The sequence below is a fragment of the Homo sapiens genome, chromosome 3, assembly GCF_000001405.40.
Source record: "Homo sapiens chromosome 3, GRCh38.p14 Primary Assembly".
Classification (NCBI taxonomy): Eukaryota; Metazoa; Chordata; class Mammalia; order Primates; family Hominidae; genus Homo; species Homo sapiens.
The window spans coordinates 58,806,345-58,829,600 of NC_000003.12; the positions used below are offsets into that span (position 1 = coordinate 58,806,345).

At 40.6% G+C, this 23,256-nt stretch overlaps 1 protein-coding gene and 1 long non-coding RNA gene across 27 annotated transcripts in view, besides 1 other annotated feature; one reads left to right on the top strand and one right to left on the bottom strand.

Annotated features, from left to right (window-relative positions):
- Positions 1–23,256, bottom strand: part of CFAP20DC (CFAP20 domain containing) — a 333,853-nt gene that overhangs the window by 90,172 nt on the left and 220,425 nt on the right. For 22 of the 26 annotated variants that reach the window (XR_001740051.3, XR_001740052.2, XR_007095646.1 and 19 more), the window contains one exon: positions 51–112. The exons of 3 other annotated variants lie outside the window; for them this stretch is intronic. Coding sequence is in view for 17 of the 23 variants with exons in the window: in NM_198463.4 (NP_940865.1) it covers positions 51–112 (62 nt within the window). In the remaining 6 variants the exon portion in view is untranslated. Of the gene's footprint in view, positions 1–50; positions 113–16,480; positions 16,734–23,256 lie in introns of those variants that run through there. One more of the 26 variants, XM_011533455.4, reaches the window with a different exon arrangement.
- Positions 386–886: an enhancer, noted in NCBI's record as "H3K4me1 hESC enhancer chr3:58792456-58792956 (GRCh37/hg19 assembly coordinates)". NCBI's record gives its function as "activates a minimal SCP1, AML or CMV promoter by ChIP-STARR-seq in naive H9 embryonic stem cells {active_cell/tissue: H9 hESC(naive)}" and the evidence as "EXISTENCE:reporter gene assay evidence [ECO:0000049][PMID:30033119]".
- The window catches only part of CFAP20DC-AS1 (CFAP20DC antisense RNA 1), a 194,623-nt gene continuing 189,493 nt past the window's right edge, over positions 18,127–23,256 (top strand). Inside the window, exon 1 of the long non-coding RNA NR_110820.1 lies at positions 18,127–18,231. This is a non-coding gene — a long non-coding RNA (CFAP20DC antisense RNA 1). The remainder of the gene's footprint in view (positions 18,232–23,256) is intronic.

The window sequence follows — 23,256 nt, forward strand, 5'->3', positions numbered from 1 at the left end:
TCCAACTAAGTTTTTTTTTTTCTTAAATGTAGATTATTAATGATTCTTACCGGGGATTAGAAGGAGAAGGTGGGTTCATTTCTTTCTGATAGTGGCGACCCTGGTTGACAGGCTGGAAAAGACAAAACATTTGTGAATGTTTAATCAGCACAAAGCTGTTTACATAGACATTCACATGCACTCTCATTACTGTAACTGTTTCCTCAGACACAACCCACAAGAAGGGTATGGGTGGGAGGGCAGCCAAGACGGCCGAATAGGAACAGCTCCAGTGTACAGCTCCCAGCGTGAGCGATGCAGAAGACGGGTGATTTCTGCATTTCCACCTGAGGTACCGGGTTCATCTCACTAGGGAGTGCCAGATAGTGGGTGCAGGACAGTGGGTGCAGCGCACCGTGTGCGAGCCGAAGCAGGGCGAAGCATTGCCTCACTCGGGAAGCGCAAGGGATCAGGGAGTTCCCTTTCCTAGTCAAAGAAAGGGGTGACAGATGGCACCTGGAAAATCGGGTCACTCCCACCCTAATACTGCACTTTTCCAACGGGCTTAAAAAACGGCGCACCAGGAGATTATATCCCGCACATGGCTTGAAGGGTCCTACGCCCACGGAGTCTCACTGACTGCTAGCACAGCAGTCTGAGATCAAACTGCAAGGCGGCAGTGAGGCTGGGGGAGGGGTGCCCGCCATTGCCCAGACTTGCTTAGGTAAACAAAGCAGCCAGGAAGCTCGACCTGGGTGGAGCCCACCACAACTCAAGGAGGCCTGCCTGCCTCTGTAGGCTCCACCTCTGGGGGCGGGGCACAGACAAAAAGACAGCAGTAACCTCTGCAGACGTAAGTGTCCCTGTCTGACAGCTTTGAAGAGAGCAGTGGTTCTCCCAGCACGCAGCTGGAGATCTGAGAATGGGCAGACTGCCTCCTCAAGTGGGTCCCTGACCCCTGACCTCCAAGCAGCCTAACTGGGAGGCACCCCCCAGTAGGGGCAGACTGACACTTCACACGGGCGGGTACTCCTCTGAGATAAAACTTCCAGAGGAACGATCAGACAGCAGCATTCGTGGTTCATGAAAATCCGCTGTTCTGCAGCCACCGCTGCGGATACCCAGGCAAATAGGGTCTGGAGTGGACCTCTAGCAAACTCCAACAGACCTGCAGCTGAGGGTCCTGTCTGTTAGAAGGAAAACTAACAAACAGAAAGGACATCCATACCAAAACCCCATCTGTACATCACCATCATCAAAGACCAAAAGTAGATAAAACCACAAAGATGGGGAAAAAACAGAGCACAAAAACTGGAAACTCTAAAAAGCAGAGCGCGTCTCCTCATCCAAAGGAACGCAGTTCCTCAGCAACGGAACAAAGCTGGATGGAGAATGACTTTGACGAGTTGCGAGAAGAAGGCTTCAGATGATCAAACTACTCCGAGCTACAGGAGGAAATTCAAACCAAAGGCAAAGAAGTTAAAAACTTTGAAAAAAATTTAGAAGAATGTATAACTAGAATAACCAATACAGAGAAGTGCTTAAAGGAGCTGATGGAGCTGAAAGCCAAGGCTCGAGAACTACGTGAAGAATGTAGAAGCCTCAGGAGCCCATGTGATCAACTGGAAGAAAGGGTATCAGTGATGGAAGATGAAATGAATGAAATGAAGTGAGATGGGAAGTTTAGAGAAAAAAGAATAAAAAGAAATGAACAAAGCCTCCAAGAAATATGGGACTACGTGAAAAGACCAAATCTATGTATGATTGGTGTACTTGAAAGTGACAGGGAGAATGGAACCAAGTTGGAAAACACTCTGCAAGATATTATCCAGGAGAACTTCCCCAATCTAGCAAGGCAGGCTAACATTCAGATTCAGGAAATACAGAGAACGCCACAAAGACACTCCTCCAGAAGAGCAACTCCAAGACACATAATTGTCAGATTCACCAAAGTTGAAATGAAGGAAAAAATGTTAAGGGCAGCCAGAGAGAAAGGTCGGGGTACCCACAAAGGGAAGCCCATCAGACTAACAGCTGATCTCTCAGCAGAAATTCTACAAGCCAGAAAAGAGTGGGGACCAATATTCAACATTCTTAAAGAAAAGAATTTTCAACCCAGAATTTCATATCCAGCCAAACTAAGCTTCATAAGTGAAGGAGAAATAAAATCCTTTACAGACAAGCAAATGCTGAGACATTTTGTCACCACCAGCCCTGCCCTAAAAGAGCTCCTGAAGGAACCGCTAAACATGGAAAGGACCAACCAGTACCAGCCACTGCAAAATCATGCCAAATTGTAAAGACCATCGAGGCTAGGAAGAAACTCCATCAACTAATGAGCAAAATAACCAGCTAACATCATAATGACAGGATCAAATTCACACATAACTATATTAACCTTAAATGTAAATGGACTAAATGCTCCAATTAAAAGACACAGACTGGCAAATTGGATAAAGAGTCAAGACCCATCAGTGTGCTGTATTCAGGAAACCCATCTCACATGCAGAGACACACATAGGCTCAAAATAAGAGGATGGAGGAAGATCTACCAAGCAAACGGAAAACAAAAAAAGGCAGGGGTTGCAATCCTAGTCTCTGACAAAACAGACTTTAAACCAACAAAGATCAAAAGAGACAAAGAAGGCCATTACATAATGGTAAAGGGATGAATTCAACAAGAAGAGCTAACTATCCTAAATATATATGCACCCAATACAGGAGCACCCAGATTCATAAAGCAAGTCCTGAGTGACCTACAAAGAGACTTAGACTCCCACACAATAATAATGGGAGACTTTAGCACCCCACTGTCAACATTAGACAGAAAGTTAACAAGGATACCCAGGAATTGAACTCAGCTCTGCACCAAGCGGACCTAATAGACATCTACAGAACTCTCCACCCCAAATCAACAGAATATACATTTTTTTCAGCACCACACCACACCTATTCCAAAATTGACCCCATACTGGGAAGTAAAGCTCTCCTCAGCAAATGTAAAAGAACAGAAATTATAATAAATTGTCTCTCAGACCACAGTGCAATCAAACTAGAACTCAGGATTAAGAAACTCACTTAAAACCGCTCAACTACATGGAAACTGAACAACCTGCTCCTGAATGACTACTGGGTACATAACGAAATGAAGGCAGAAATAAAGATGTTCTTTGAAACCAACGAGAACAAAGACATAACATACCAGAATCTCTGGGACGCATTCAAAGCAGTGTGTAGAGGGAAATTTATAGCACTAAATGCCCACAAGAGAAAGCAGGAAAGATCCAAAATTGACACCCTAACATCACAATTAAAAGAACTAGAAAAGCAAGAGCAAACACATACGAAAGCTAGCAGAAGGCAAGACATAACTAAAATCAGAGCAGGACTGAGGGAAATAGAAACACAAAAAACGCTTTCAAAAATTAATGAATCCAGGAGCTGGTTTTTTGAAAGGATCAACAAAATTGATAGACCTCCAGCAAGACTAATAAAGAAAAAAAGAGAGAAGAATCAAATAGACACAATAAAAAATGATAAAGGGGATATCACCACCGATCCCTCAGAAATACAAACTACCATCAGGGAATAGTACAAAAACCTCCACGCAAATAAACTAGAAAATCTAGAAGAAATGGATAAATTCCTGGACACATACACCATCCCACGACTAAACCAGGAAGAAGTTGAATCTCTGAATAGACCAATAACAGGCTCTGAAATTGTGGCAATAATCAATAGCTTACCAATCAAAAAGAATCCAGGACCAGATGGACTCACAGCCGAATTCTATCAGAGGTACAAGGAGGAACTGGTACCATTCCTTCTGAAACTATTCCAATCAATAGAAAAAGAGGGAATCCTCCCTAACTCATTTTATGAGGCCAGCATCATCCTGATACCAAAGTTGGGCAGAGACACAACCAAAAAAGAGAATTTTAGACCAATATCCTTGATGAACATTGATGCAAAAATCCTCAATAAAATACTGGCAAACCAAATCCAGCAGCATATCAAAAAGCTTATCCACCATGATCAAGTGGGCTTCATCCCTGGGATGCAAGGCTGGTTCAATATACGCAAATCAATAAATGTAATCCAGCATATAAACAGAACTGAAGACAAAAACCACATCATAATCCCAATAGATGCAGAAAAGGCCTCTGACAAAATTCAACAACCCTCCATGCTAAAAACTCTCAATAAATTAGGTATTGATGGGACGTATTTCAAAATAATAAGAGCTATCTATGACAAACCCACAGCCAGTATCATACTGAATGGGCAAAAACTGGAAGCATTCCCTTTGAAAACTGGCACAAGACAGGGATGCCCTCTCTCACCACTCCTATTCAACATAGTGTTGGAAGTTCTGGCCAGGGCAATTAGGCAGGAGAAGAAAATAAAGGGTATTCAATTAGGAAAAGAGGAAGTCAAATTGTCCCTGTTTGCAGATGACATGATTGTATATCTAGAAAACCCCATTGTCTCAGTCCAAAATCTCCTTAAGCTGATAAGCAACTTCAGCAAAGTCTCAGGATACAAAATCAATGTACAAAAATCACAAGCATTCTTATACACCAATAACAGGCAAACAGAGAGCCAAATCATGAGTGAACTCCCATGCACAATTGCTTCAAAGAGAAGAAAATACCTAGGAATCCAACTTACAAGGGATGTGAAGGACCTCTTCAAGGAGTACTACAAATCACTGCTCAGTGAAATAAAAGAGGACACAAACAAATGGAACAACATTCCATGCTCATGGGTAGGAAGAATCAATATCGTGAAAATGGCCATACTGCCCAAGGTAATTTATAGATGCAATGCCATCCCCATCAAGCTACCAATGACTTTCTTCACAGAATTGGAAAAAACTACTTTAAAGTTCATACGGAACCAAAAAAGAGCCCGCATTGCCAAGTCCATCCTAAGCCAAAAGAACAAAGCTGGAGGCATCACGTTACCTGACTGCAAAGTATACTACAAGGCTACAGTAACCAAAACAGCATGGTACTGGTACCAAAACAGAGATATAGATCAATGGAACAGAACAGAGCCCTCAGAAATAACGCCGCATATCTACAACTATCTGATCTTTGACAAACCTGAGAAAAACAAGCAATGGGGAAAGGATTCCCTATTTAATAAATGGTGCTGGGAAAACTGGCTAGCCATATGTAGAAAGTTGAAACTGGATTCCTTCCTTATACCTTATAAAAAAATTAATTCAAGATGGATTAAAGACTTAAACGTTAGACCTAAAACCATAAAAACCCTAGAAGAAAACCTAGGCATTACCATTCAGGACATAGGCATGGGCAAGGACTTCATGTCTAAAACACCAAAGTCAATGGCAACAAAAGCCAAAATTGACAAATGGGATCTAATTAAACTAAAGAGCTTCTGCATAGCAAAAGAAACTACCATCAGAGTGAACAGACAACCTACAAAATGGGAGAAAATTTTCGCAACCTGCTCATCTGACAAAGGGCTAATATCCAGAATCTACAATGAGCCCAAACAAATTTACAAGAAAAAAAGAAACGACCCCATCAAAAAGTGGGCGAAGGACATGAACAGACACTTCTCAAAAGAGACATTTATGCAGCCAAAAAACACATGAAAAAATGCTTACCATCACTGGCCATCAGAGAAATGCAAATCAAAACCACAATGAGATACCATCTCACACCAGTTAGAATGGCAATCATTAAAAAGTCAGGAAACAACAGGTGCTGGAGAGGATGTGGAGAAATAGGAACACTTTTACACTGTTGCTGGGACTGTAAACTAGCTCGACCATTGTGGAAGTCAGTGTGGCGATTCCTTAGGGATCTAGAACTAGAAATACCATTTGACCCAGCCATCCCATTACTGGGTATATACCCAAAGGACTATAAATCATGCTGCTATAAAGACACATGCACACGTATGTTTATTGCGGCTCTATTCACAATAGCAAAGACTTGGAACCAACCCAAATGTCCAACAATGATAGAATGGATTAAGAAATTGTGGCACATAAACACCATGGAATACTATGCAGCCATAAAAAATGATGAGTTCATGTCCTTTGTAGGGACATGGATGAAATTGGAAATCATCATTCTCAGTAAACTATCGCAAGAACAAAAAACCAAACACCGCATATTCTCAGTCATAGGTGGGAAATGAACAATGAGAACACATGGACACAGGAAGGGGAACATCACAGTCTGGGGACTGTTGTGGGGTGGGGGGAGCGGGGAGGGATAGCATTAGGAGATATAACTAATGCTAAATGACGAGTTAATGGGTGCAGCACACCAGCATGGCACATGTATACATGTGTAACTAACCTGCACATTGTGCACATGTACTCTAAAACTTAAAGTATAATAATAGTAAAATAAAATAAAAAAAGAAAAGAAGGGTATGGGTTTATTTTACAGATCCAGCAAATAGCAGAGTGGTATAAATGAGAAATCACATTTATCATTATTATTATTTTAGTGGCCCAGTCATTGGACCTCATAGCATCTATGATGTAATTAAAGTTCATGTATTGAAATTTTCCTCTTTGTGGAATTTTTATGCTGTTAACATTGGTTGATATTTTCAGACAGGAAAACAAAACCAAACAAGATATCTCATGGAACTAATGCTGCAGTTCAACCATCATTAATAACAGAAACCCAGACACACAGAAAATACATTTAGTCTCAGTGTTAGTAAGTGTGTAAATATAATTTCTATTACCACGAATGAGAATTACACATGTAAATCTTAGGTCAAGGCAGTCATTTTCCCCAAGTGTATAACACAACCTCAAGTACTGATCAATAAGCTGAAAAAAATGATGCCAATACCTAACAAAAATGTGAAATCTCAAATTTTCCCTCCACAGGAAACCTTTCAGTTACATTTCAAAACATAGCTGAACAACTATATCTCATGTAGCCCTAAACACTTGCTTCCAATGGAACTTGATCTTTTTCCTTTGTTCTATAACGGGAAAAAATTCCATCCTCTTTTTGAACATCAGCTCTAAGTATTTATGTGGTTAGCAACAATGCGATTCTAATAAGAAATCATTTTCAACATTCTCATTTTATTACAATTTAGAGTTTGCTATACATGTTTAAATTGCATTCAAAGAGCTTTAGCTACTTCCAAACCCAGTGGGGTTGGTGTTAAGGGTTTCTCACCCATCATAATGTGGCCCCTGACTGAGGAGAACAACGTAGCCATGGTGCCTGTATATACAGAGCTCATACTCCTTAGCTTCCAGATATTTCTCATTAAAAGAAGTCTCAAAATATTAATGATGTAGGTGATGGGAATTCTTCAGAGTAAACTGTCTTCCTCTATAAATTATCTCTTGGAAGTGTTCCTTTAATTTAAATCAAACACCCCATCTGATAATCACAGTCACTTAGCCTGACTACCTGTTATGCACCATGAATTTAAATGTACTCAGATACTTTGGTAATTGAACCAATATCAATGCATCACCATTTCAGTAATAAGAAACAACAGCTGGGAGAACAGTGGAAGGAAAAACATGTCATAAGACATATTTGATCTCACTAGAGAAATAAGACTTTCGGCAATTTGCAAGTGAAATTTGGTTCTATGATTTAGGCTTTATTATTTCACAGCAAAAAAGAAATTAGCAAGCAAAGGGCCTAACAGGTTCTCTGGACAAACTCACACTGGTATAGAAATACTCCCAATAACAAATTCATTGGTATTCGTCCAGTATTTCAGCTGTACTCAGGTCTCCAGTGAATGGACCTCTGCCTATTTATTTTTAGAGGCATTTCCATGACTCTCTAAGCATCACAGACCTGATATTCAGGTGAATTTCCATTTCTTAATTTTATACTATTAATTCTACTTACACCAATGCCCAAACCTCTATTCCAAATGACTTACTCCATCCCTTGGAAAATAGAAGTGGTTACAGAATCCTATCTTGTTAGTGACTCAGCCCCTCCTTGCTTTAGACTAAAAACTCTCAATAAATTAGGTATTGATGGGACGTATTTCAAAATAATAAGAGCTATCTATGACAAACCCACAGCCAGTATCATACTGAATGGGCAAAAACTGGAAGCATTCCCTTTGAAAACTGGCACAAGACAGGGATGCCCTCTCTCACCACTCCTATTCAACATAGTGTTGGAAGTTCTGGCCAGGGCAATTAGGCAGGAGAAGGAAATAAAGGGTATTCAATTAGGAAAAGAGGAAGTCAAATTGTCTCTGTTTGCAGATGACATGATTGTATATCTAGAAAACCCCATTGTCTCAGCCCAAAATCTCCTTAAGCTGATAATCAACTTCAGCAAAGTCTCAGGATACAAAATCAATGTACAAAAATCACAAGCATTCTGATACACCAACAACAGACAAACAGAGAGCCAAATCATGAGTGAACTCCCATTCACAATTGCTTCAAAGAGAAGAAAATACCTAGGAATCCAACCTACAAGGGATGTGAAGGACCTCTTCAAGGAGAACTACAAACCACTGCTCAAGGAAATAAAAGAGGATACAAACAAATGGAAGAACATTCCATGCTCATGGGTAGGAAGAATCAATATCGTGAAAATGGCCATACTGCCCAAGGTAATTTATAGATTCAATGCCATCCCCATCAAGCTACCAATGACTTTCTTCACAGAATTGGAAAAAACTACTTTAAAGTTCATATGGAACCAAAAAAGAGCCCGCATCGCCAAAGCAATCCTAAGCCAAAAGAACAAAGCTGGAGGCATCACACTACCTGACTTCAAACTATACTACAAGGCTACAGTAACCAAAACAGCATGGTACTGGTACCAAAACAGAGATATAGATCAATGGAACAGAACACAGCCCTCAGAAATAACGCTGCATATCTACAACTATCTAATCTTTGACAAACCTGAGAAAAACAAGCAATGGGGAAAGGATTCCCTATTTAATAAATGGTGCTGGGAAAACTGGCTAGCCATATGTAGAAAGCTGAAACTGGATCCCTTCCTTACACCTTATACAAAAATCAATTCAAGATGGATTAAAGACTTAAACGTTAGACCTAAAACCATAAAAACCCTAGAAGAAAACCTAGGCATTACCATTCAGGACATAGGCATGGGCAAGGACTTCATGTCTAAAACACCAAAAGCAATGGCAACAAAAGCCAAAATTGACAAATGGGATCTAATTAAACTAAAGACCTTCTGCACAGCAAAAGAAACTACCATCAGAGTGAACAGGCAACCTACAAAATGGGAGAAAATTTTCACAACCTGCTCATCTGACAAAGGGCTAATATCCAGAATCTACAATGAACTCAAACAAATTTACAAGAAAAAAAACAAACAACCCCATCAAAAAGTGGGCGAAGGACATGAACAGACACTTCTCAAAAGAAGACATTTATGCAGCCAAAAAACACATGAAAAAATGCTCATCATCACTGGCCATCAGAGAAATGCAAATCAAAACCACAATGAGATACCATCTCACACCAGTTAGAATGGCAATCATTAAAAAGTCAGGAAACAACAGGTGCTGGAGAGGATGTGGAGAAATAGGAACACTTTTACACTGTTGCTGGGACTGTAAACTAGTTCAACCATTGTGGAAGTCAGTGTGGCGACTCCTCAGGGATCTAGAACTGGAAATATCATTTGACCCAGCCATCCCATTACTGGGTATATACCCAAAGGACTATAAATCATGCTGCTATAAAGACACATGCACACGTATATTTATTGTGGCATTATTCACAATAGCAAAGACTGGGAACCAACCCAAATGTCCAACAATGATAGACTGGATTAAGAAAATGTGGCACACATACACCATGGAATACTATGCAGCCATAAAAAATGATGAGTTCATGTCCTTTGTAGGGACATGGATGAGACTGGAAATCATCATTCTCAGTAAACTATCGCAAGAACAAAAAACCAAACACCGCGGGGAGGAGCCAAGATGGCCGAATAGGAACAGCTCTGGTCTACAGCTCCCAGAGTGAGCGACGCAGAAGACGGGTGACTTCTGCATTTCCATCTGAGGTACCGGGTTTATCTCACTAGGGAGTGCCAGACAGTGGGCACAGGCCAGTGGGTGCGTGCACCGTGCGCGAGCCGAAGCAGGGCGAGGCATTGCCTCACCTGGGAAGCGCAAGGGGTCAGGGAGTTCCCTTTCCGAGTCAAAGAAAGGGGTGACGGACGCATCTGGAAAATCGGGTGACTCCCACCCGAATATTGCACTTTTCAGACCGGCTTAAAAAACGGTGAACCACGAGATTATATCCCACACCTGGCTCGAGGGTCCTACGCCCACGGAATCTTGCTGATTGCTAGCACAGCAGTCTGAGATCAAACTGCAAGGTGGAAGCGAGGCTGGGGGAGGGGCGCCCGCCATTGCCCAGGCTTGCTTAGGTAAACAAAGCAGCCAGGAAGCTCGAACTGGGTGGAGCCCACCACAGCTCAAGGAGGCCTGCCTGCCTCTGTAGGCTCCACCTCTGGGGGCAGGGCACAGACAAACAAAAAGACAGCAGTAACCTCTGCAGACTTAAGTGTCCCTGTCTGACAGCTTGGAAGAGAGCAGTGGTTCTCCCAGCACGCAGCTGGAGATCTGAGAACCAGCAGACTGCCTCCTCAAGTGGGTCCCTGGCCCCTGACCCCCGAGCAGCCTAACTGGGAGGCACCCCCCAGCAGCAGCACACTGACACCTCACACGGCAGGGTATTCCAACAGACCTGCAGCTGAGGGTCTTGTCTGTTAGAAGGAAAACTAACAAACAGAAAGGACATCCACACCGAAAACCCATCTGTACATCACCATCATCAAAGACCAAAAGTAGATAAAACCACAAAGATGGGGAAAAAACAGAACAGAAAAACTGGAAACTCTAAAACGCAGAGCGCCTCTCTTCCTCCAAAGGAACGCAGTTCCTCAAGAGCAACGGAACAAAGCTGGATGGAGAATGACTTTGATGAGCTGAGAGAAGAAAGCTTCAGACGATCAAATTACTCTGAGCTATGGGAGGACATTCAAACCAAAGGCAAAGAAGTTGAAAACTTCGAAAAAAATTTAGAAGAATGTATAACTAGAATAACCAATACAGAGAAGTGCTTAAAGGAGCTGATGGAGCTGAAAACCAAGGCTCGAGAACTACGTGAAGAATGCAGAAGCCTCAGGAGCCGATGCGATCAACTGGAAGAAAGGGTATCAGCAATGGAAGATGAAATGAATGAAATGAAGCGAGAAGGGAAGTTTAGAGAAAAAAGAATAAAAAGAAATGAGCAAAGCCTCCAAGAAATATGGGACTATGTGAAAAGACCAAATCTACGTCTGATTGGTGTACCTGAAAGTGATGGGGAGAATGGAACCAAGTTGGAAAACACTCTGCAGGATATTATCCAGGAGAACTTCCCCAATCTAGAAAGGCAGGCCAACGTTCAGATTCAGGAAATACAGAGAATGCCACAAAGATACTCCTCAAGAAGAGCAACTTCAAGACACATAATTGTCAGATTCACCAAAGTTGAAATGAAGGAAAAAATGTTAAGGGCAGCCAGAGAGAAAGGTCGGGTTACCCTCAAAGGGAAGCCCATCAGACTAACAGCGGATCTCTCGGCAGAAACTCTACAAGCCAGAAGAGAGTGGGAGCCAATATTCAACATTCTTAAAGAAAAGAATTTTCAACCCAGAATTTCATATCCAGCCAAACTAAGCTTCATAAGTGAAGGAGAAATAAAATACTTCACAGACAAGCAAATGCTGAGAGATTTTGTCACCACCAGGCCTGCCCTAAAAGAGCTCCTGAAGGAAGCGCTAAACATGGAAAGGAACAACCGGTACCAGCCGCTGCAAAATCATGCCAAAATGTAAAGACCATCGAGACTAGAAAGAAACTGCATCGACTAATGAGCAAAATCACCAGCTAACATCATAATGACAGGATCAAATTCACACATAACAATATTAACTTTAAATGTAAATGGACTAAATGCTCCAATTAAAAGACACAGACTGGCAAATTGGATAAAGAGTCAAGACCCATCAGTGTGCTGTATTCAGGAAACCCATCTCACGTGCAGAGACACAGATAGGCTCAAAATAAAAGGATGGAGGAAGATCTACCAAGCAAATGGAAAACTGAAAAAGGCAGGGGTTGCAATCCTAGTCTCTGATAAAACAGACTTTAAACCAACAAAGATCAAAAGAGACAAAGAAGGCCATTACATAATGGTAAAGGGATCAATTCAACAAGAAGAGCTAACTAACCTAAATATATATGCACCCAATACAGGAGCACCCAGATTCATAAAGCAAGTCCTGAGTGACCTACAAAGAGACTTAGACTCCCACACATTAATAATGGGAGACTTTAACACCCCACTGTCAACATTAGACAGATCAACGAGACAGAAAGTCAACAAGGATACCCAGGAATTGAACTCAGCTCTGCACCAAGCGGACCTAATAGACATCTACAGAACTCTCCACCCCAAATCAACAGAATATACATTTTTTTCAGCACCACACCACACCTATTCCAAAATTGACCACATACTGGGAAGTAAAGCTCTCCTCAGCAAATGTAAAAGAACAGAAATTATAACAAACTATCTCTCAGACCACAGTGCAATCAAACTAGAACTCAGGATTAAGAATCTCACTCAAACCCGCTCAACTACGTGGAAACTGAACAACCTGCTCCTGAATGACTACTGGGTACATAACGAAATGAAGGCAGAAATAAAGATGTTCTTTGAAACCAACGAGAACAAAGACACAACATACCAGAATCTCTGGGACGCATTCAAAGCAATGTGTAGAGGGAAATTTATAGCACTAAATGCCCACAAGAGAAAGCAGGAAAGATCCAAAATTGACACCCTAACATCACAATTAAAAGAACTAGAAAAGCAAGAGCAAACACATTCAAAAGCTAGCAGAAGGCAAGAGATAACTAACATAAGAGCAGAACTGAAGGAAATAGAGACACAAAAAACCCTTCAAAAAATCAATGAATCCAGGAGCTGGTTTTTTGAAAGGATCAACAAAATTGATAGACCTCCAGCAAGACTAATAAAGAAAAAAAGAGAGAAGAATCAAATAGACACAATAAAAAATGATAAAGGGGATATCACCACCGATCCCACAGAAATACAAACTACCATCAGAGAATACTACAAACACCTCTACGCAAATAAACTAGAAAATCTAGAAGAAATGGATAAATTCCTCAACACATACACTCTCCCAAGACTAAACCAGGAAGAAGTTGAATCTCTGAATAGACCAATAACAGGATCTGAAATTGTGGCAATAATCAATAGCTTACCAACCAAAAAGAGTCCAGGACCAGATGGATTCACAGCCGAATTCTACCAGAGGTACAAGGAGGAACGGGTACCATTCCTTCTGAAACTATTCCAATCAATAGAAAAAGAGGGAATCCTCCCTAACTCATTTTATGAGGCCAGCATCATCCTGATACCAAAGCCGGGCAGAGACACAGCCAAAAAAGAGAATTTTAGACCAATATCCTTGATGAACATTGATGCAAAAATCCTCAATAAAATACTGGCAAAACGAATCCAGCAGCACATCAAAAAGCTTATCCACCATGATCAAGTGGGCTTCATCCCTGGGATGCAAGGCTGGTTCAATATACGCAAATCAATAAATGTAATCCAGCATATAAACAGAGCCAAAGACAAAAACCACATGATTATCTCAATAGATGCAGAAAAAGCCTTTGACAAAATTCAACAACCCTTCATGCTAAGAACTCTGAATAAATTAGGTATTGATGGGACATATTTCAAAATAATAAGAGCTATCTATGACAAACCCACAGCCAATATCATACTGAATGGGAAAAAACTGGAAGCATTCCCTTTGAAAACTGGCACAAGACAGGGATGCCCTCTCTCACCACTCCTATTCAACATAGTGTTGGAAGTTCTGGCCAGGGCAATGAGGCAGGAGAAGGAAATAAAGGGTATTCAATTAGGAAAAGAGGAAGTCAAATTGTCCCTGTTTGCAGACGACATGATTGTATATCTAGAAAACCCCATTGTCTCAGCCCAAAATCTCCTTAAGCTGATAAGCAACTTCAGCAAAGTCTCAGGATACAAAATCAATGTACAAAAATCACAAGCATTCTGATACACCAACAACAGACAAACAGAGAGCCAAATCATGAGTGAACTCCCATTCACAATTGCTTCAAAGAGAAGAAAATACCTAGGAATCCAACTTACAAGGGATGTGAAGGACCTCTTCAGGGAGAACTACAAACCACTGCTCAAGGAAATAAAAGAAGATACAAACAAATGGAAGAACATTCCATGCTCATGGGTAGGAAGAATCAATATCGTGAAAATGGCCATACTGCCCAAGGTAATTTACAGATTCAATGCCATCCCCATCAAGCTACCAATGACTTTCTTCACAGAATTGGAAAAAACTACTTTAAAGTTCATATGGAACCAAAAAAGAGCCCGCATCGCCAAGTCAATCCTAAGCCAAAAGAAGAAAGCTGGAGCCATCACACTACCTGACTTCAAACTATACTACAAGGCTACAGTAACCAAAACAGCATGGTACTGGTACCAAAACAGAGATATAGATCAATGGAACAGAATAGAGCCCTCAGAAATAACGCCACATATCTACAATTATCTGATCTTTGACAAACCTGAGAAAAACAAGCAATGGGGAAAGGATTCCCTATTTAATAAATGGTGCTGGGAAAACTGGCTAGCCATATGTAGAAAGCTGAAACTGGATCCCTTCCTTACACCTTATATAAAAATCAATTCAAGATGGATTAAAGATTTAAACGTTAGACCTAAAACCATAAAAACCCTAGAAGAAAACCTAGGCATTACCATTCAGGACATAGGCATGGGCAAGGACTTCATGTACAAAACAACAAAAGCAATGGCAACAAAAGACAAAATTGACAAATGGGATCTAGTTAAACTAAAGAGCTTCTGCACAGCAAAAGAAACTACCATCAGAGTGAACAGGCAACCTACAAAATGGGAGAAAATTTTTGCAACCTACTCATCTGACAAAGGGCTAATATCCAGAATCTACAATGAACACAAACAAATTCACAAGAAAAAAACAAACAACCCCATCAAAAAGTGGGCAAAGGACATGAACAGACACTTCTCAAAAGAAGACATTTATGCAGCCAAAAAACACATGAAAAAATGCTCATCATCACTGGCCATCAGAGAAATGCAAATCAAAACCACTATGAGATACCATCTCACACCAGTTAGAATGGCAATCATTAAAAAGTCAGGAAACAACAGGTGCTGGAGAGGATGTGGAGAAATAGGAACACTTTTACACTGTTGCTGGGACTGTAAACTAGTTCAACCACTGTGGAAGTCAGTGTGGCGATTCCTCAGGGATCTAGAACTAGAAATACCATTTGACCCAGCCATCCCATTACTGGGTATATACCCAAAGGACTATAAATCATGCTGCTATAAAGACACATGCACACGTATGTTTATTGCGGCATTATTCACAATAGCAAAGACTTGGAACCAACCCAAATGTCCAACAATGATAGACTGGATTAAGAAAATGTGGCACATATACACCATGGAATACTATGCAGCCATAAAAAATGAAGAGTTCATGTCCTTTGTAGGGACATGGATGAAATTGGAAATCATCATTCTCAGTAAACTATCGCAAGAACAAAAAACCAAACACCGCATATTCTCACTCATAGGTGGGAATTGAACAATGAGATCACATGGACACAGGAAGGGGAATATCATACTCTGGGGACTGTTGTGGGGTGGGGGGAGGGGGGAAGGATAGCATTGGGAGATATACCTAATGCTAGATGAGGAGTTAGTGGGTGCAGCACATCAGCATGGCACATGTATACATATGTAACTAACCTGCACAATGTGCACATGTACCGTAAAACTTAAAGTATAATAAAAAAAAATCATGAAAAAACAAACAAACAAACAAACAAACAAAAAAAACCAAACACCGCATATTCTCACTCATAGGTGGGAACTGAACAATGAGATCACATGGACACAGGAAGGGGAATATCACACTCTGGGGACTGTTGTGGGGTGGTGGGAGGGGGAAGGGATAGCATCAGGAGATATACCTAATGCTAGATGACGTGTTAGTGGGTGTAGTGCACCAGCATGGCACATGTATACATATGTAACTAACCTGCACAATGTGCACATGTACCCTAAAACTTAAAGTATAATAAAAAAAAAAAAGACTATACAGACTGATCCCTTTCCATCTTTGCTCATAGTGATTTTTAAGTGTTAGAAAACAAAAAAGTAACCAATGGAAACTTTTCAAATAAAAACTGCTGACACGAACACATAGAAAGGTGAACAACTAGCTGTCTGAGGCTAGACATCCTCACCTACAAATGGATATTGATGGAGTTCAGGACATGGCATTTACAGTAGCAGGAAGGTCACTCTCACCTTCTCCTGTTCTCCCCTGCAGCTGGTCATAAAACATAGCTAGGATTTTCTGAACACCCCCTGGAGCAGGTCATAAGATACTCATTTGAGAGATGCCGTCCCTATCCCCTGAAGAAAGGAACATCCTTATCTCTGAAGACACAGGGACACAGAGAAGAATCTGAACAAAAGCCTTGCTGATTTTCTTCGTTTATTTCCATTAGCTCATATCTCCTTTGCCCAATCATATTTCTCCACCACTTTCCTCTCTTCATCAAACCTGGAGTAAAAATATTCAAGTTTCACTGTTTGTTCAGTTCTTCATTTCCTTATAAAGACTCCTGTATCATGGAAAACTTACATGAAATAAATTTGTATGTTTTTCTTTTGCTAATCTGTCTTTTGTTGCAACAGAGGCCTTGGCGATGAATCCAGGGTGGGTGAGAAAAAGATATTTTTCCTCCCCTACAATATGCTTATAAACATATGTAGCAGTAAACCTATTTCTAGGTAGGTAGCATCCTGTGAAAGCACCAATGAAATAATATAGAATTTGTTTTGATTTTGGCATTCAGTCATACCTAGAGAATATCGTAAGTAGATGCAAAGGGATGACAACCAGTATCTACAATGAACTACGACCATCATCATAATAGCGGCGATTGACATTTATTGAGTACTTATGCTAATTCTTGGTAGATATGATCTTATTTGATCCTCAGAGCAATTCTATGAAATAAATAGGATGAACAACTACATTCAACAGAAGAGGAAATTGACACTGGGTATTAACCCAGGATCGTGCCTGCCAGGAAAGAGTGGAGCTAGAATGTGAACCCAGGCAGTCTGAGTCCACAGCTTACCCTCTCAACCACTAGTCTGTAGTGTTTATTCCAGCTCGAGAGTGCATCTAGAGTGGTGACTATTTAAGTTTTTGAATAACAAAATGACAAAATCAGTTCTGTTTGTGGCAGGAAAAAAAAGTGACCCTGAAGAAATACATTTATTTGAAATATATATGACTATCTCCTTACCATAAATTAATTTCATTGTTTTCATTCTCATGACATGTCACTATGTATTTACAATTTAAAAAATCAGTTTTGCCACGTTACTAAATTTGGGACAATCATAAAATGTAATAGACAGTACTCTGAGAATAAGAAAAGTTTATTTCCTGGGGTGACTTTCATAGTCACTAAACACAGAACAACTTGCACATTTCAATATTTCCTCCTGACAGTACAGATACTGTCTCTATTGTCACTATTACACTGACTCTAATATCAGTTTTCGTATATCATTTCTATAGTTGTATAAGAACATCTGCTCATATGATTTATCTGCAGCTTAGCACAATCAACTGCATACCTTTTTAGTTCAGGAGGATTAAAAGAAAACTCATTCTACCCAAAGAGAGCTGAGAAGTTAATGAATCTGTAGATCAGAACAAATTAAAACCTATTAATTATAAGGAGTCTGAAATGCCAATATATTATATTTTGAATACACAGCAACCAGGAATATCATGCAAAAACGCTGATATGCTGTGGAGCAAAGAAATGGAACAGATCCCAGAAACTCAGGACCTCGGCCTTTTGGTGGCGCTGTTGCTATGTGCTAGTGCCAGGAAAACAGTATTCATATATAATTAACTACCACGGAGCACAAGCAGCTTTGCTTTTCCATGATCAAGCTGCTAGAGATTTTGGGGTGAGGGAGCGAAATGAAGGCTAAATAAAAGAACCGGAGATAAGATAATCCTGCCATGTTAAAAGGTAAAGATAATATTTTTATGTTGTTATGTAAAACCTATGAAAATGGCGATAATGTTGCAAGGTTAATCAAGACCATAAATAACTTGTCTGAGAACCTCACCATATGCCTGCAGTTTTATTAAGTGTATTTTGCCTCGTTATTCTCCGAATATTATGCTCTGCAACATGCCATGTTGATGGATGCATGCAATGAGCTTTTCTTTTCTTTTTTGTAAGCTAAAGAGACTTATGTGCTTGATATTAGGTATGGGAATTCTTTTTTTTTTTTTTAAGAGATGGGGTCTCATTGTGTTACCCACACTGGCCTTGAATTCCTGGGCTAAAATCCTCCTGCCTTAGCCTCCCAATTAGCTGGGAATACAGACCTGTGCCACCATGCCCCCGTTCAGGTTATGTTAATTATTAACCTGAAGGAATGACAGCTTTGGGGCATCTGCTCACAGGGTAGCTGCACAATAAACCTACTTTTCTTGAATCTACATTTGAGGAGAGACAGTGAAATGAAATATTGAAATAATGAGATAATGAAGGAGTTTATTTGGAAGGATCTGAGGGAGTCAGTCTGTATGCTGATGGTTAAACTCACATCAAAACAAACACTACAGAATCTCTGCTTACTCTTTCAGGTCTCAGTCGTCATAAAAAGGGAAAATGTCCTAGAAATTCTGTTCTGATCACTCAAGTGGCCCTTTGAGGAGAATAACCTTGGGGAAACAGCAGTTGACAGTCAGTGTGAGCTTACTCTGCTAAGCACCAGGCACATGCATTTCATGTACTCATTCGATTTGCATAATGCCAATATTAGGAAGGTTCTTTTATTATTTCCATTTCAAAGATGATCATGTCCATAAATGGCAGAGCTGGAATTTGAGCCCAGGTTGACTGATCTAGAGTTTATATTTGTTTGGGCATCCCATGAAGCAGTGTCCATTGATAGCTGTTCCTGTTCCTTAAAAAAAGAAAACACACACACACACACACAACATGGCTTTATGCTATTGTCAATCAAAATCCCTCACCAAGATAAAATTCACTTAAAATTCATTATAACTAACTCCTAGTGCCCTTCCAAAGGCTGCCGAGAGCCCAGTTTTTGAATAAATCTCACGAGGGCTACTCCTAACAGAAACTCTCCAAAATTGATTGATTGTAGCCTGGTTTCCACAGAAGTTGTAAAGTATTGTTTTAATTGAATTTGGTTCTAAGTTAGAAACTTTGAAAAATTTGTCTGTCAAAGGCCAATGGATTTCTCAGTAGGCTTGATTTATTTAGCAAGAGATGCCTACAAAAGCCAATTTGCTATGAGGAATGTGGTTACATTTAATTACACTTTTAAATGACTAATTTGTTATATCTAAACACCTTTTAAACAGTACATATTACTCTGAACTGTACAGATGCTGAGGAATCAAAGTTTGTGTTAAACACAAAGGATTTTGCTAAAGACTCTTCATTTTACTCTGCGTAGGCTTTCTGGCTTCAGACTGCAATGTGTGTGAAGTCGTCAGGTAAAAATGCTAAACTGAATGGGACCGGACTACATCTTTTTCTTCCTATTTGCAATCAGGCCCTGCTCAGAAGGAGATTTTCCTTTGGGTGTATATTTAATATCCATTTATCAAATCTTGAATTGAAAATATTACATGCATCACTCAGGATTTATTTAAGCAAAGCAAAGCTGATGTTTATTTTGGAATCTTGACGAAAATTATTTTAGAGTAAAAAATGAATTTTTAAAAATTATACTTTAAGTTTTGGGATACATGGGCAGAATGTGTAGGTTTGTTACATAGGTACACATGTGTCATGGTGGTTTGCTGCACCCATCAACCCGTCATCTACATTAGGTATTTCTCCTAATGCTATCTATCCCTCCCCTAGCCCCCTACACTCCGACGGGCACTGCTGTGTGATGTTTCCCTCCCTGTGTCCATGTGTTCTCACTGTTCAACTCTCACTTATGAGTGAGAATATGCAGTGTTTGGTTTTCTGTTCCTGTATTAGTTTGCTGAGAATGATGGTTTCCGGCTTCATCCATGTCCCTGCAAAGGACCTAAACTCATCCGTAAACAAGGAATTTTTAAAAATATTATTGATTGATTCATTCAAGTAATGACTGACAACTAGCTGTGATGCCTTGTGCTAGCCTTTGTGCTCCAACACAGAAGGTATGAAAGAACACAGGCAGGGTTCTGCCTTCAAGGAATTCACAACCAGGCCTGGGGATAGTGGTAACAGTGGTTGGCTAATGTCATAAGTGCTGTAATTGAGCCAGAAGATAACAGGGACCCAGAGAGGGAAGCGAATAATTCTGTTCAGGGTGGGATGAGGGTTGGGGAGAGTTTCATGAAGCAGTGACAAGTGAGTTGGGGCCTTCAGAAATAAGCAAAAGGAGGGATAAACAGTCAGAGTACAGAGAATTTTAGGGGCAGTGAAACTACTCTGTATGATACTATAATGGTAGATACATGTCACTATACCTTTGTCTAAATCCATAAAATGCACAACACCAAGAGTGAACCCTGATAATGTGACAATGATGTGTCAATGGAGGTTCATTAATTGTAACAAATTACCACTCTGGTGGGGGACACTGATAATAGGGTTCGTCTCAATTTTGCTGTGAACCCAAAACGGCTCAAAACAATTATAAGTCTTTAATAAAAAATTAGCCAAAAACCAAAAAACCAAAACAGAAATTAAAGAGCCATTTTCTAAATAGAGAAGGAGCTGCCAGACAGAGAAGAGATGAGCATGGCCTGATCTGAACACAGGGCATGGCTCACCAACTGACAGCCAAGTTGACAGTGTGGCAGGAGCAGAGTGGCTCACTTGTGTGTATGTTGGGTGGGGGGTGGGTAGCGAGACAAGCAAAACTCATTTCAAGTGCTACGCAAGCTGACAGAGAAACGAAGGCACTAAGAGGAGGTTATCTTGCTAAAGGAGAGACTCCCCACTGTCCCCTCCACCACAGACTTAATTTGGCTTCCTTTTGGAACTTGGAATTCCAGTCCCCTCTTGTCTGCATGGTAAACTTGAACTCATTCTTGAACTTTGGCTTAACTGTTGTCTTCTCTGTGAAAGCATCCCTGAAACCCACATGCGGAATCACTCCCTCTCACGTGTTCCCATAACTCGTTATTCTATCACTTGCCACCCTGAGTTACAGTGAGCCGTTTACCTGGGCTTCCCCACCAAAACTGTGAATACCTCAAGCTTGGATAAGGCTTTATCTGTATCCTCAGTAGCCAGCCTAGTTCACAGCACATGTGTGCCACTCAAAAACATATGTGTGGAATGAGTGAATGTGAGACAGACAAGCAAGCTTGTGGTGAGAGTTATCAGGGAGATACTCCTGACTCTTGTGGCAGAGAAGGTGTATCCTTCACAACGAGGCCTGGAGAAGGGCTACAGTGACTTTAGAGCTAAGTCTTGAGGATAATCAGGTCCACGGTACAGGGATAATGTGCAGAGTGCATCTAGGGACTACAGAATGGAGTGAAAGGTGGGGTGCAGTGAGAGATGAGGCTGGAGAGAGGGCAAGTCTCAGATCATGGGGGCTCCTGTATGCCAAGGTAAAGAGGTGATGGGGAGTCACTGAAAGGCTTTACCTAATGAAGAGATCAGATCAGATCAGATTTGGGCTTTAGGAAGATCACTAATGTGAATAATAATGATAATAATAATGACAGCTAAACTTCATTTATTAAGTACTTATGTCTCAGATACAGTGCCAAGCATTTTATAAGGGTCACAGCTTGGATCTCAACCGTGGAAATTTGACGTCAGAGCTGAGGCTCCTAACCACCAGGTTACAGTGCTTTGACTGGAGGCACAGAGATGTTAGGGGACTATTGAAGGAATTCAGATGAAAAATAAAGTGCATAAACCATAAAAAAGAGTGAAATCATGTCCTTTGCAGCAACATGGATGCAGCTGGAGGCCATTATCCTAAGCAAATTAATGCAGGAACAGAAAACCAAATACTGCATGTTCTCACTTATAAGCAGGAGCTAAACATCAGGTACTCATGGAAATAAATATGTCAACAATAGAAACTGGGGACTGCTAAAGGAGAGAGGGAGGAAGGGGACAGGGATTGAAAAAGTAACTATTGGGTACTATGCTCAATACCTGCATGAATGAATCATTTGTACCCCAGTCTTCAGTATCATGCAATGTACCCTGGTGACAAATGTGCACATGTACCTCCTCAATCTAAAATAAATACTGAAAAAAAAAAGTGCATAATCTGTCATGGGATTAAGGGGAAAAAAGAAAAAAGGAAAAGTGCCAAGGCTGTGGTATTAGGAAGGGTGGGTTAAGAGATAAAAAGGAGAGAGGATTCTTAGGATTTGGAGACCAGCTGGATGTGGGATAAAGAAGCGGGAGAAATGAAGATGCCTTCCAAATTCCTGGCTAAAGGATCAATATGGATGTTGACATTATTCACTGAGATAAAAGAAGAGTGGGACAGGCCGGGCATGGTGGCTCACCTGTAATCCCAGCACTTTGGGAGGCCAAGGTGGGTGGATCATTTGAGGTCAGGAGTTTGAGACCAGCCTGGCCAACATGGTGAAATCCTGTCTCTACTAAAAATACAAAAAATTAGCTGGGCATGGTGATGGGTGCCTGTAATCCCTGATGGGTGCCTGTAATCCCAGCTACTTGGGAGGCAGAGGTTGCAGTGAGCCAAGATCGAGCCACTGCACTCCAGCCTGGGTAATAGGGTGAGACTCAGTCTCAAAAAAAAAAAAAAAAAAGGGATATTATTGTGATGAATAAAGTTATGAATTCTTTTATTTCTTCTTTTTCACTGTCCCTGTGCAACTTTTAAAGAGAAAGGCATGAGCTCTCAAAAAGACCACAATGATGCTTGCAAAATTGCTCTATCTAAACTCTATACAAGCAGCAAGACACAGAGTTCATTAAGGAATACAATTTTCCATTTGGCGGTAGTTCCAATGTTAGATAGACTGACTCTGATGCAATAATAAACATATCTTATGAATACCAAAGGTAGGC